Source organism: Homo sapiens, chromosome 9, assembly GCF_000001405.40.
Source record: "Homo sapiens chromosome 9, GRCh38.p14 Primary Assembly".
Classification (NCBI taxonomy): domain Eukaryota; kingdom Metazoa; phylum Chordata; class Mammalia; order Primates; family Hominidae; genus Homo; species Homo sapiens.
The window spans coordinates 93,916,152-93,928,432 of NC_000009.12; the positions used below are offsets into that span (position 1 = coordinate 93,916,152).

A 12,281-nucleotide genomic window follows, 5' to 3' on the forward strand; every position below is an offset into this window, starting at 1 on the left:
AGGAAAGAGGTGCCAGAGCTCCTGGGGAAGCTGCAGCTGGGTCTCCCTCTCCTGGACCAGTTCTGCCTCTGGTCCTGGCCCATGGAGGATGTTTGCATGAAAGAAGGAAGGAAGGAAGGATGGATGGAAGGAAGGAAGGAAGGAAGGAAGGAAGGAAGGAAAGAAGGAAACAATGGTCTTCGAATACAGGTGGCACGGCACAGGACACGGCACTGTGACTGTGTACTCCAGCACTTTAAAGTCCCTGCACCCAGGCCCGGATCCAATCCCCCACAACAAGACCTCCCCAACCTCACTGTGCCTCACCACAGGCCCTACCACGCTACAAGATGCCCTCCCACACCCTACCCCAGCCCTGCCATAGGCCCCACCTCATTCCAGGCCTCTCCAGGGCCCCACCCCATCAGAAGCTCCACCCCAGGCCATCCTGCCTCACTCAGCACTCAACACTCAGCTTTGTATCTCCTGCTGTGACCTCCTCCATCTCCAACTGGGGTCCTGGCATTCCTATGCCCAAGGTCCCACCATGACCCCCGTCACTCTCACTTCCCAGCTGAGTGAACCTGGACGAGGCCTCAGTTACCTCCTCTGCAGGATGGGGTGCCTGCCTGCACTTGGAGATCAGCCTTCCCAGCTGCTTTGTGGAGTGCCTGCCACGTGGGGTGGGACCACAAACCAGAGATACAGGGGTGCACCCAGGGGACTATTCCTGGCCACCACCCTACAACACAATCCCAGAGGCCAGCTCTTTGCATTTTGTAGGGGATTTTCCTACTGACTCCCCACTCGGTGTCCCCATGGCATGGCTTTATGGTGTCTTTCCTCCTGTTCCAGGACTAGCTCCCCAATTTCACACAGGCACCTGCCCCCCTTCTGCATCTGTATGGTTCCAATGGATCAGACCCTGTCCTAGTGCAGGGGTCCTGATGCATTAGCCCGCCTAGCACCATGATAGGCCACGAATGCACAAGACAAAGTTCACCCAATCAGAGCTCACTCAGAGCCTCGGCTGGCGTCGGTGGGAAAGAGGTCATGCCCCTTCCTCTGACCACTGAGAGGACACAAGTCTTCCCTAGGTGCCCATGCCAGCTCTGACTTTGCAAGGGGAGAGACCATCTGAGAATAAAGCTGGCAGAGAGGGGCACACTGGAGCCACTGGATCCAGCTGTGCCTGAAGGCAGACCTATCCTGGATTTGTCAGCTACACACTTCAGCCTTGGACTTGGATTTCCGATGCCTTCAATGAGATGAGAAAATCGAGTCTCAAAGGGCCTGGGATCTAAACTGGGACAAAGGTGAGCAGACACTGGCCTCAGGTCACATGACTCCAAATGCTGTCCTCCACCACGTGATGGCCTCCGCACTCCGAAAGTGCTGAAGGACGTGAATTTGTGTGTGCAGGTGTGTGAGTGCTTGTGCATGTGAGAACGTGTGTGTGGACCTGTGTGTTTGTGTGTGTACATGTGAGGATGTAGTGTGGGGGTGTGCATGTGTGTGTGAGCAAGTGTGTGCATGTGAGTGTGTGTGTGCATGTGAGTGTGTGTGTACATGTGAGAATGTGGTATGAATGTGTGCATGTGAGTGTGTGTACATATGAGAATGTAGTGTGAGTGCATGCATGTGAGTGTGTGTGTGAGTGTGAGTGTGTGTGTATGTGCTGTGATTTCCCTGAGCCCCCAGCAAACAGACAAAAGCTCACTGAAGGCAGAGGGTAGAAGCCAGAGGGCTGGCACACCTGTGAGGCTTCCTACTGAGTGCCCCAGGAGCTAGGGACATGTTGCATCTGGCGGCAGTTCTGGGAGAAGTTCTGGGATGTGCTACAAAGCACCAGAAGCCCCTGCTCCCCGGACCATCCACCCGAGGCCCAGTCACATCCTGGTGCATTGCCCAGCTCCGTGGAAAGGACAGTGGAGGGAGGCACTGGCCTGGAGTCAGGACACCATCTACTCCCTAACCTTCTGCCCCACCACCCCCACTCCCGCCCCTGACTTGCCGAAGGAGCCAACAGCTTTTACCAGGCATGAAAATCAAGACCTGGGAGGGGTGGATTCCCAGGAAGAGGCTTCAACTAGCAGCAACCTGAGCCCTGGGAAGCCTGCGCCTGGGTCTTTCACAGGGGGAGTTCCATGGCTGAGAGCCGACCACGACTCCTCGGCCACCCGCCTCCTCCCCTCAATGACCGTTGGTGCTGAGACAGGTGACATCTTGTGCTCCAGGGCCTGGGCTTCCTGCCACCACCTCTCCTTCACTTCCAGAAGCCTCTGTGTGGACTCCATCCCCCATCCCCATGCAGTCTGTACCCTAGGCACTCCTCACTGAGATCAAATCCTCTCCTCTCAACTCACCCCCACCGCCTTTCTCACGCCCAAATGAGACCTGTGCTCTGATGATGGACACCCTCCCTCATCACCTAGGGCGCTCAACTCCAAATTCTTTTTGCCGAAACCACCCCAGGAAAGGAATTTCGGGACCCCCACCCAATGGGTAGGTTTACTTATCTGGAAAAGATCTGCCCATCCTGCTCCCACTCGATAATATCTGGATGTGCAGCAAAAGTTTAGGCAGCCTGGTGCTCAGCGTGAAGCCCTATCTGAATGGAGGACTCGGTGAGCTTGGGGCTCTGATGCAGATGTCCTCACAGCCAGGGTGGCCTCTAGGATCTGTGAGACCTTGGGAGAGTTGCTTCACCACTCTGTGCCTCAGTTTCACCACCTGGAAAAGGGATGCTAACAATCATTCTTACCACCCAGGGCTGCTCTGTGGACACTGAGCTAACTTGCATGGACCCCCAAGGGAGCCTGGCTCCCACCGAAACGTTACTATCTCCAGGGCTTGTGTCATTGATGCTGTCTCAATAGGCCCTGGCCTGACTTAAGGCAGCTGCCCATCTTGGGTCACGTTGGTTCTGTTAAAACTGGATAATGTTACCCACAAAGTTCCCTATGAGGACCTGCAAGAAGGTGCCAGAGACAGGGCGCAGCCGCATTTCAGAGTTTAACAGTAGTCATGCCCAGTTTCTTTCCCATGCCTCTAGATTTTAAAATGCAATATTTGTTGTTGCCACCACCCCTAACCTGACCCCTGGGCTGTACACACCCCACCATGGAGACCCTGGTCCACAGACATCACCTGCCCTCCCAGATTTGGGCGTGGCCTTCTCACCTCTGCCTCATGTGCCCCTTCTGTCCCCTCCCCAGCTCTCTGCCCAGCAAGGGCTGCCTCCACCTCCCAACTTGGCCAGGCGGCCTTTGCAATGCCTCTGCCGCCCTCTCCCACCTGGCCAGTTGCCTTTTTTTTTTTTTTTTTTTTTTGAGATGGAGTTTTGCTCTTGTCACCCAGGCTGGAGTGCAATGGCACAATCTTGGCTCACCGCAACCTCCGCCTCCCAGGTTCAAGCGATTCTCCTACCTCAGCCTCCCAAGTAGCTGAGATTACAGGCGGGTGCCACCACACCCGGCTAATTTTGTATTTTTAGTAGAGACGGGGTTTCTCCACGTTGGTCAGGCTGGTCTCGAACTCCCAACCTCAGGTGATCTGCCTGCCTTAGCCTCCCAAAGTGCTGGGATTACAGGCATGAGCCACTGCGCCCTGCCAAGCTGGCTAATTTCAACTCAGCCTTCAAATAGCACCTCCCCAACCCAAGTGGAAATACACCCTTTCTACTGTGGGCACCCCCTCCGTCCCTTGGCACTCACCAATCTCCCTTGAGTCTGTGCAGTGTCTGTGTCCCCCAACCCCCTCCAAGCAGAGTTGAGGTGTCTCTTACCAGCATTTCTCAAACGGGGGCAAGTTTGGGTCCCCTTTACAACATCTGGAGACATTTTTGGTTGTTATGACTTAGGGGGTGCTCTTGGCATCTGGAGAGTGGAGGCCAGGGATGCCACTCAGCACCCTGAAGTGTACAGGACCACCCCCACCCGGGAGAACGATCCAGCTCCGACATCAGTCTTTTCGAGGCCAAGACCCAGTCCGGGCCCAGTGTCCAGCCAAGGCTGGCACCCAGAAGTGCTGGTGGGGTTTGCTGAATGGTGCAGCAGGCAGGGCCCCTCCTGGGCTGCAGCACTCCCGCCCCAATTACTTTTCTCTTCCCCTAATCCTGTTGTCAGAAGACAGCCAAGGAAAACACGCACAAGTCCCCACTGACCGGTGCACGCAGCCTTGAAGAATTAGGTTTCGCAGTAATTAAGCTCATCCGGTACATGTGCGGCAAGGTCTGGCCATGCCGCCTCTTGCCAGCCCCCTGCCCCAGGACATGATGGGGACACGGTGACGGGTGATGGGGTGAGGGGATGCTGGGGGAACAGATTCTGGGGGTCAGGAGTGAAGAAGGTGCTGGGTGATGGGACGTTGAGGGTGTCGGGATGGAGGTCTGGGGCTGACGAGGTGACAGCAGTACTGGAGACAGGGCAGCGCCTCCCACGTCCTTGACTGGGGAGGGTCTTGGTGGATATCAGATTGCCTGGGCCAGTCACGGCCCCCAGGCCCACGAGGAGGAGGAGGGTGGCTCAGGAGAGCGGAGGCCCGGCTGGGCTGATGGCTGCTGCTCCCGCACCCCCAGCTGTCCTCTTCCAAGCCCCCTCCAGGCCAGACACTCCCCCTGCATGCAGGCCCCTCATCTTCAGGAGCCTCGCCTTTCTGTCTCTTTTTGTCCTTTTCTCTTTCTCTTTCTTTCAGCCTCTCTCCCTCTAGGCCCCTTTTTCTCTCTCTGCCTCCATCTCTCCTTCCCTGTCTCTCTCCATTTTCTCAGTCTCTGCCTCTCTGTCTCCGCATATCCAGGTCTTGCCCTCTTTCTGATCCCCTAGCTCTGCTTCTCTGAACCTGTGTACCCACCTCAGACTCCTTCAGCCCCCACTTTTCCCAGAACCACTCCTTTCCCCACCCCTCCTTCCCAGGTACTGGAGTCTGAGGGTCTGGCGGACACCTCCATGGCCTGGAGGCACATGGGTGGACAGGAGCTGTCCATGTGCAAGGATTCTGGGGAGCAGCGGGCAATGCTGGAGCAACTTCAGGTCTGGGTTCTGGCTGTGCCTGACTCTCCCCTCTCTGAACCTCAGTTTCCTGCTGGGGAACTGGAGAGCTGGGGGCATCTGTCCCCACACTCCTGCTACTCTGCTCCACACCCAGGGGCCTGCGCTGTTTTGGCCAAGGGGCTCGCCTATCCTGGGCTCATAGTCCTCTGCGTTTCCAAGTTGCATCAGCACCACTAGGACTCCGCCAGCAGGAAGGGGGTGGACCCGAGAGACTTGGCCAGGCCAAGCCATGACCCCATCATTTTGTCTTAACACAAAACCACACCCAGTGCATGGACCCTGCGTCTGTCCCCTGAGAGAAGAGACTTCAATAGAGAGCTAGCAGTTTCTCCACAGGCCTTAGGATGGCACTTGATTAATCTCTGTGTTTGAGAGACTTGGACTAGACTGGGACAACCATGCTGGCCCCTATGTATTGCCCCGGCCTGTGTGGGAGCCTGGGGTACAGATGGACGGTGCCTTATGCCTCCAGGTCCCCATCCCTGAGCCCCGAGCCATGTGCCGTACACTGGGAGGGTGCCAACGAGAGGACTTTAGGAGCTTCTAATTCCCGCCCAGTGCAGGGATTTCCCCCACATGCCACCCAGATGTGCCCACCCAGCCCCGGCAGCCTCTCAGGGAGCCCAACAAGGGCAGAGCCCACGTGGGAGGATGGAGGGGCCCAACCTGACTACTCCTGTCAGCTCAGGGACACACAGCACCCCCACCGGACCTTCCTCTTCGTGCTCTAAGCCACCTTTTCTTCACCATCGCTGTGCCCCGCTGAGGCCTCGACCTCTCTCCCGGACTTCAGTACAAGCTCTCATATCACCTTCCTCTGCCCTCACCACCTCCAGCATCTCTCTGCAGCAGTGGTCCTCCTGGATAGGACTCTGACCATGTCCCCACTGAAGGGCAACATGGAGCCCCCTGAGCACCCAAGCCCGGCATGGAGGTTGATGGTCAATCTCAGGTCCCACACTCCGACTGCTATTGCTGCAACCTTAGAAACGCGGCAAACCAAGAGCCTGTACCTGATGTCCGGCCTGTGGTAGCTGAGATGGGAAGCTGTGGTTGGCAGCGATGGGCTTGGGCATATTGACAGTGTCAGGCCCCTACCCACACATCAACCCCTGTGACCCAGAGCAATCTGAGCCTCAGGTTCCCCCTCTGCTCCTGATGAGCAAGTGACAGAGGGCCCCCATGCACAGCAAGTGGCAGGGGTGACAGGAGGAGGCCAGCCAACGGTGCACCACCTGTGCACCAGGGTTGCATCAGAGATCTATAAATGAGCAGTAAGAAAGAACTACAAAGGTCAGTGTTAAAATTTCACTTGCCATTGATGACCCGGATGGCTTCTTTGCCGAATCAAATGCTGGAAGGACATTGCCTCTGTTCCTGTGCTAGTCACAATGCAATGGCTTCAGATCCAGGGCACTTTTAACCTGAATCTGCATTACCAACATCTTCCCCATCATTTTCTTCCATTCAGACCATAGGTTTGTCAACAAAGGCTCTCAGGCCGAATCTAGCCTATGGCCTGCGAGTTAAGAATAGTATTAACATTTGCAAAGAGCCTTAGCAGAAGAGGAAAGAAGACAGAGAAGAAGGAAGAGGGAGGGGAGAGGGTGACAGCAGGTGCAGCAGCCACCATAAGTAGCCGGCAAAGCCTAGAATATGACCTCTTGTGGCAAAGTTTGCAGACCCTTCATTTAGACAACCTATCAAACAATAAATTGAGCCTTGATTTGTAGTATTTACAGCTCTCCACGACATTTGTGGCCGGTTTTAAACTACTAACATGCAGTCACTGAGCACGGTTTTGGGAAGAGAGGCCAGGGGCAGCCGTCACGCCGTACCTCCCATGCAGGTGCACACGCAGCAGGACTTGCAGAGCACGGATAACAGCAGCACAGCCACCCTTGGTTCTAAAACAGCATATATAATTCATTTAATTGTACATTTATATAATTGACTTTTCATAACGACTGTGTTAATGCCTGGCTCACACATCCCTGCAGTGCCACAGCCAGCCGGCGCAGACTCCTCCGCTGATATGGGCAGTGCTGGATGCAGGTCAGAGTCACAGGAGGCAGCTCTGTGGCACCAGCCACATTTCATCACTGGAGAAACTTCCACTGGCTAGTGCTGCTCCAGCCTTTCTTAAGGCCTTGTTTAAATGTTCTGTCCTTTTCTAAACTGGGCCACACCTTGACAGAGAAGCTTGTATGTCTGAACATGGAACATTAATAGGGGAGGGCCCTGGAGGGCCAAGAGGGTGGTGGCAGTAATAACTGGTATGAGACCCCATCATGGGAAACAGCACTCAGCACAGGGCAGGCTTACAAACCAGGTGCTTCCGCTGCGTAAGAATGTCCCTGAATGGCAAGTGCTGCAATCCAGGTATAACTGTTTAGCCCTTGTCACAATGCTCAAAAAAGATGTGTTAAACAGACAGGGTGCAGTGGCTCATGCCTGTAATCCCAGCACTTTGAGAGGCCAAGGCGGGCAGATCACGAGGTCAGGAGTTCAAGACGAGCCTGGCCACCATGGTGCAACCCCATCTCTACTAAAAATACAAAAATTAGCAGGATATGGTGGCACACACCTGTAATCCCAGCTACTCAGGAGCCTGAGGCACAAAAATCGCTTGAACTGGGAGGTGGAGTTTGCAGGGAGCCAAGATTGCACCACTGTATTCCGCCTGGGCAGCAGAGTGAGACTCTGTCTCAAAAAAAACAAACAACAAAAAGATGTGTTAAACAAATTTATATTCATATAAACACAGTTACGCTCCACCTGGAGCTCGGGTTCAAATCCTGGCCCTACTGCTGTGAGTAACTGTTATGGACACCTGCTGGCACCTCTCCTTCAGGTGCAGCCACCAATTGTCATTGAGAACGCCCCCAGCCTCAGCCTATGTGGTTTACAAGGGACTATCCAGGCCCTGGGATGCCCAGGTCTGTCCCAGCAGGCCCAGCACCGACCTGCCCGCCACTGTGACTGTTACAGCAGTGACCACAAGCTCCAGTCAGAGCTCCTCCTAGGCCTTTTCTCGGACTCTTGGAAAAAGAGGCTTTCACTTAAGGCTGCTGACAGGCTGAGAGGGCTCCTACCAGGCCTGGGCCACCACAGGGGAAGGGGCAGTGCCCAGCTGAAGACCTGTTCCCTTCCCTGGAGCTGCCTGAGTTCCTGGGCCCTTCAGTTATGCAAGCCAAGAAGTCCCCTTCTATGTTTAAACCAGTTGGGGTTGGCTTCTGTCACTGGTAACCAACAGGGTCTTTGTTAACATGGCAGGTCATTTAATTTCAACTTCCCCATCTGTAAATCAGAGGCCACCCCAGCTTCTCCAAGACTGACTGTGAGGACAAACCCTGCCATCCCGGATCTCTGACAAGAAAGTAGGCCCCAGAAGTCTAGGGTCAGAGGCTATGGCTAAGGAACCAGGCAGCCCAGCAAAAGCCTGGCCAGATGCCGGGCAGGATGGCTGAGCAGGAGCAGGTGGTGGAGAGCCACTGAAGCAGGAGGAAGAGTGGCATGGAAGGAATCTAGATCGTGGCCTTCCATGTTCAGTTACTGATATGGAGTCTGGCCCAGGCCTTCTAGGAGACTGGAGAAGGGTCACACGGGGCCGCTTACCTCATGGTGGAGTAGGGGGAGGGCGGGGCAAGTTGCAGCTGAGCACATGGGGCAGGCTCCAGGAGGGCCGACACCTGAGCTGGTGGTCTAGCGCACTCATTCAGCACACTCCCAGATGCGGTCCACCCTTTGTGCCTGCCCTCCGTGCCCCACCATTTGCCTGAAAGCCTCCTAGGGCTCACACAGTCACAGCCGAGCCCCAGGCACTTCAGGCCTTTCCCCATGGCTGCCCCTTACTCCTGCGGGCATGGCTTCTACAATCCTAGCTCTCCGGGCCTCCCTACCAGGTGACCTCCTGCTTCACCTTCAAGGCCCAGATCTAGTGTCTCCTCCTCCACAAAGCCTTCCTTGACCTCCCACTGAAATCAGGCTCCTCACCACAGCACTTGTCATGAATGTCCCATGGGTCCTTTCCCCAGGAAGGGCACAGGCTGCACCACACCAAAGCCAGCACCCAGGCCTCACCCCCACCAGCAGAGGGTGGGCATTAAGAGGGCAAAAAGGCAGGGTCTGCTTTCTCTGACCGCTGCCTGAGAGCTCCTCTGAGGAAGGCCAACACACAGAGGCATTTCTTTCATTAAAAAAATGAACAGAAGAAAGAACGAACAAACACCGGAAAAGAGGCGTTCTTGGAAGTAGCTTGCATGCTGGACCCAGCTGGGCGGGCAGCTTTTCCCTCTTCTGATTTTCCTATCCCGCTCCATCTTGGTCAGATACCCAATACTTCCTTTTGGAGAACACATACATTTGTTTGACTTGGAATATTGAATTTGGAGGCCGTTCAGCAATTTCAAATTTCAGGAGTGGGGCAGTGGGGAGACACTGTAAATTAAAAAATTCTTTCCTCTTCAGTTTCTACCCAAGATTGTATATTTTTTGATGGCAAAATTAGGGATTAACTATAAACATCTGTTTGTTCGATACTGACATGGTTGTGAGAACAATTACCAAAGCCATTGGTGTAGGGGGAGGGTTCGGATGCTTCAAGTCCGCAGTGGAAACTCTCGGTCTCCTACCAGGGCTCTGGAAGAGGGGGACGGGGGAGAGGGGACAGGGAGTAAGAGGGAGAGATTCAGGAGAAAGCAACAGGGACAGTCCCTCCGACCATCGCCCTCCTCCATGACACCCCAGCGCTGGGCAAGTGTCCCTCTCTTCCCGCCCCAGCCCTGCCCTTTCTGCTCAGTCCTTGTCACCTGAAGCCTTACTCCTTCAACAGCCTCCCACAGGTCCTTTCTGACCACCTGCTCTTTGTCAGGCACTGTGCTAGACTCAGGATACAGCCATAGACAAGATAAAAGCGTGACTGCTCACACAGCCACCACACTGTGTGTGAAGGAAGAGCCACCAGCCCACTCAGATCATGACTCTGTTCATGACAGTGATGACACGCAGGTGTCCCAGCAGAGACACGGGGACAGCCATGTCCATGAATGACAGGCCCTGATGGGTCTGTTGAGGAAGGCTCTGCAGAGAATGATCTTCAAGTAGAGTGTGGAAGGATAAACAGGAATTAACTGCTAGGCACAGTGGTTCACACCTGTAATCCCAGCACTTTGGGAGGCCAAGGCAAGTGAATCACTTGAGTCCAGGAGTTCAAGACCAGCCTGGGCAATATGGTGAAACCCCATCTCTACTAAAAATACAAAAAATAGCCAGGTGTTATGGTGTACAACTGTAGTCCTAGCTACTCAAGGGGCTGAGGTGGGAGGATCACTTGAGCCCAGGAGGTTGAAGCTACAGTAAGCCGTGATCGCACCACTGCACTGTAGCCTGGGCAACAGAGCAAGACCCTGTCTGGAAAAAAAAAAAAAGAGTAATTAACCAAGGAAGGGAAGTGGGGAGAGACTTCCAGGCAAATGGAGTGGCCTGTGCAAAGGCCCTGGGGCAGGAGAGTGTGTCTACTTGGGGCTGAGTACAGAGAGTCTGTTGTGTGGAGAATGTGGCTGAGGCTTAAAGCCCCTGGGAGCCCTTGAAGGATTTTTTGTTTTGTTTTGTTTTGCTTTTTATATTACTTTAAGTTCTGGGATACATGGTGCAGAATGTGCAGGTTTGTCACATAGGTATACATGTGCCATGGTGGTTTGCTGCACCCATCAACTTGTCATCTTGGTTTTAAGCCCTGCATGCATTAGGTATTTGTCCTAATGCTCTCCCTCCCCTTGCCCCCCAACCCCGACAGGCCCCGGTGTGTGATGTTCCCCTCCCTGTGTCCATGTGTTCTCACTGTTCAACTCCCACTTATGAGTGAGAAGATGCAATGTCTGCTTTTCTGTTCCTGTGTTACTTTGCTGAGAATGATGGTTTCCAGCTTCATCCATGTCCCTGCAAAGGACATGAACTCATTCTTTTTTATGGCTGCATAGTATTCCATGGTGTATATGTGCCACATTTTCCTTATCCAGTCTATCATTGATGGGCATTTGGGTTGGTTCCAAGTCTTTGCTATTGTAAATAGTGCTAGAATAAACATGCATGTGCATGTGTCTTTATAGTAGAATGATTTATAATCCTTTGGGTATATACCCAGTAATGGGATTGCTGGGTCAAATAGAATACCCTTGAAGGTTTTTAAGACTAATCAGTGCACAAGATCAGATCTGAGCTTCAGGGAGATTCTGCCAACAGCAACTGAAGGAGAAAAGCAGAGCCACGGGGAAACCCACGGGGAGGCGGCAAGCTCCATAGACAGGACAGGACTCAGAGAAGGCAGAGGGACAGATGATGATCCATTGAGACTCAGGGTGGTGATGCCATTTGCTACAGTAGGGAGCTGGGGAGCAGGAGTTCAGGGGAAGGTTTGGAGTCTGGCTTCAGACATGGTGAGTTTGAGGGACTCGTCAGACATCTAGGGGGCCTCAAGGAAGAAACTGGCTCTACGGGCTAAAATCACGGCGAGGCCTGGGTCAGGAGTCCACATTTGGGAGTTACTGGCATGGGGGTGGTTTAGAGTGAGAGCAGCAGGGCAGAAGGCTGACCCCTAGGGAGCCCTGGCCTGAAGCCTCAAGGTCCTAAAAAGAAAACAGAGGACACTGGACAAGCAGGGGTTGGGAATCAGGGAGCTGTATTTCAGGAGGAGAGGGAGGCCAGCTGCTGTGGATAGTCAAGAGGTGACAGCCACCATCTAGGTAAGGTATCAGGTGTGTTCACTTGTTAACTCCTCACTACAACCCTGGGAGGTAGTTGTATCACTGGCCTCATCTTACAGGGAGGGAAACTAAGGCACATAGAGGTGAAAGAATCCTGCCTTATGTTTGAGAGCTCGGAAGCAGCAGCAGCAGGATCTAAACCAGGTGGTCTAGAGCCAGAGCCTGCGCGGACCACTGCTGCACACTGCCCATGGGTACTGCAAGTTCTGGGTTTGCTGACGTGAAGATCACTGGTGGCTGGATCAGCCAGCTCCAGCTGCCATCATGAAGCACCACGGACTGGGGGCTTAAACGACCACATTTGTTTCCTCACCATTCTGGAGGCTGGAAGTCTGAGGTCCAGGTATCAGCAGGGTTGGTTTCTCCTGGGGCCTCTCCTTGGCTTGCAGGTGGAATCTTCTCCCTGTGCCTTCACATGGTCATCCCTTTGTGTGGGCCTGTGTCCTCATCTCCTCTTCTTACGTGCACAGCAGTACTGAATCAGGGC

At 54.1% G+C, this 12,281-nt stretch overlaps 2 annotated features.

The window, feature by feature from the left end:
• Positions 3,777-4,277: an enhancer, noted in NCBI's record as "H3K4me1 hESC enhancer chr9:96682210-96682710 (GRCh37/hg19 assembly coordinates)". NCBI's record gives its function as "activates a minimal SCP1, AML or CMV promoter by ChIP-STARR-seq in naive H9 embryonic stem cells {active_cell/tissue: H9 hESC(naive)}" and the evidence as "EXISTENCE:reporter gene assay evidence [ECO:0000049][PMID:30033119]".
• Positions 5,179-5,679: an enhancer, noted in NCBI's record as "H3K4me1 hESC enhancer chr9:96683612-96684112 (GRCh37/hg19 assembly coordinates)". NCBI's record gives its function as "activates a minimal SCP1, AML or CMV promoter by ChIP-STARR-seq in naive H9 embryonic stem cells {active_cell/tissue: H9 hESC(naive)}" and the evidence as "EXISTENCE:reporter gene assay evidence [ECO:0000049][PMID:30033119]".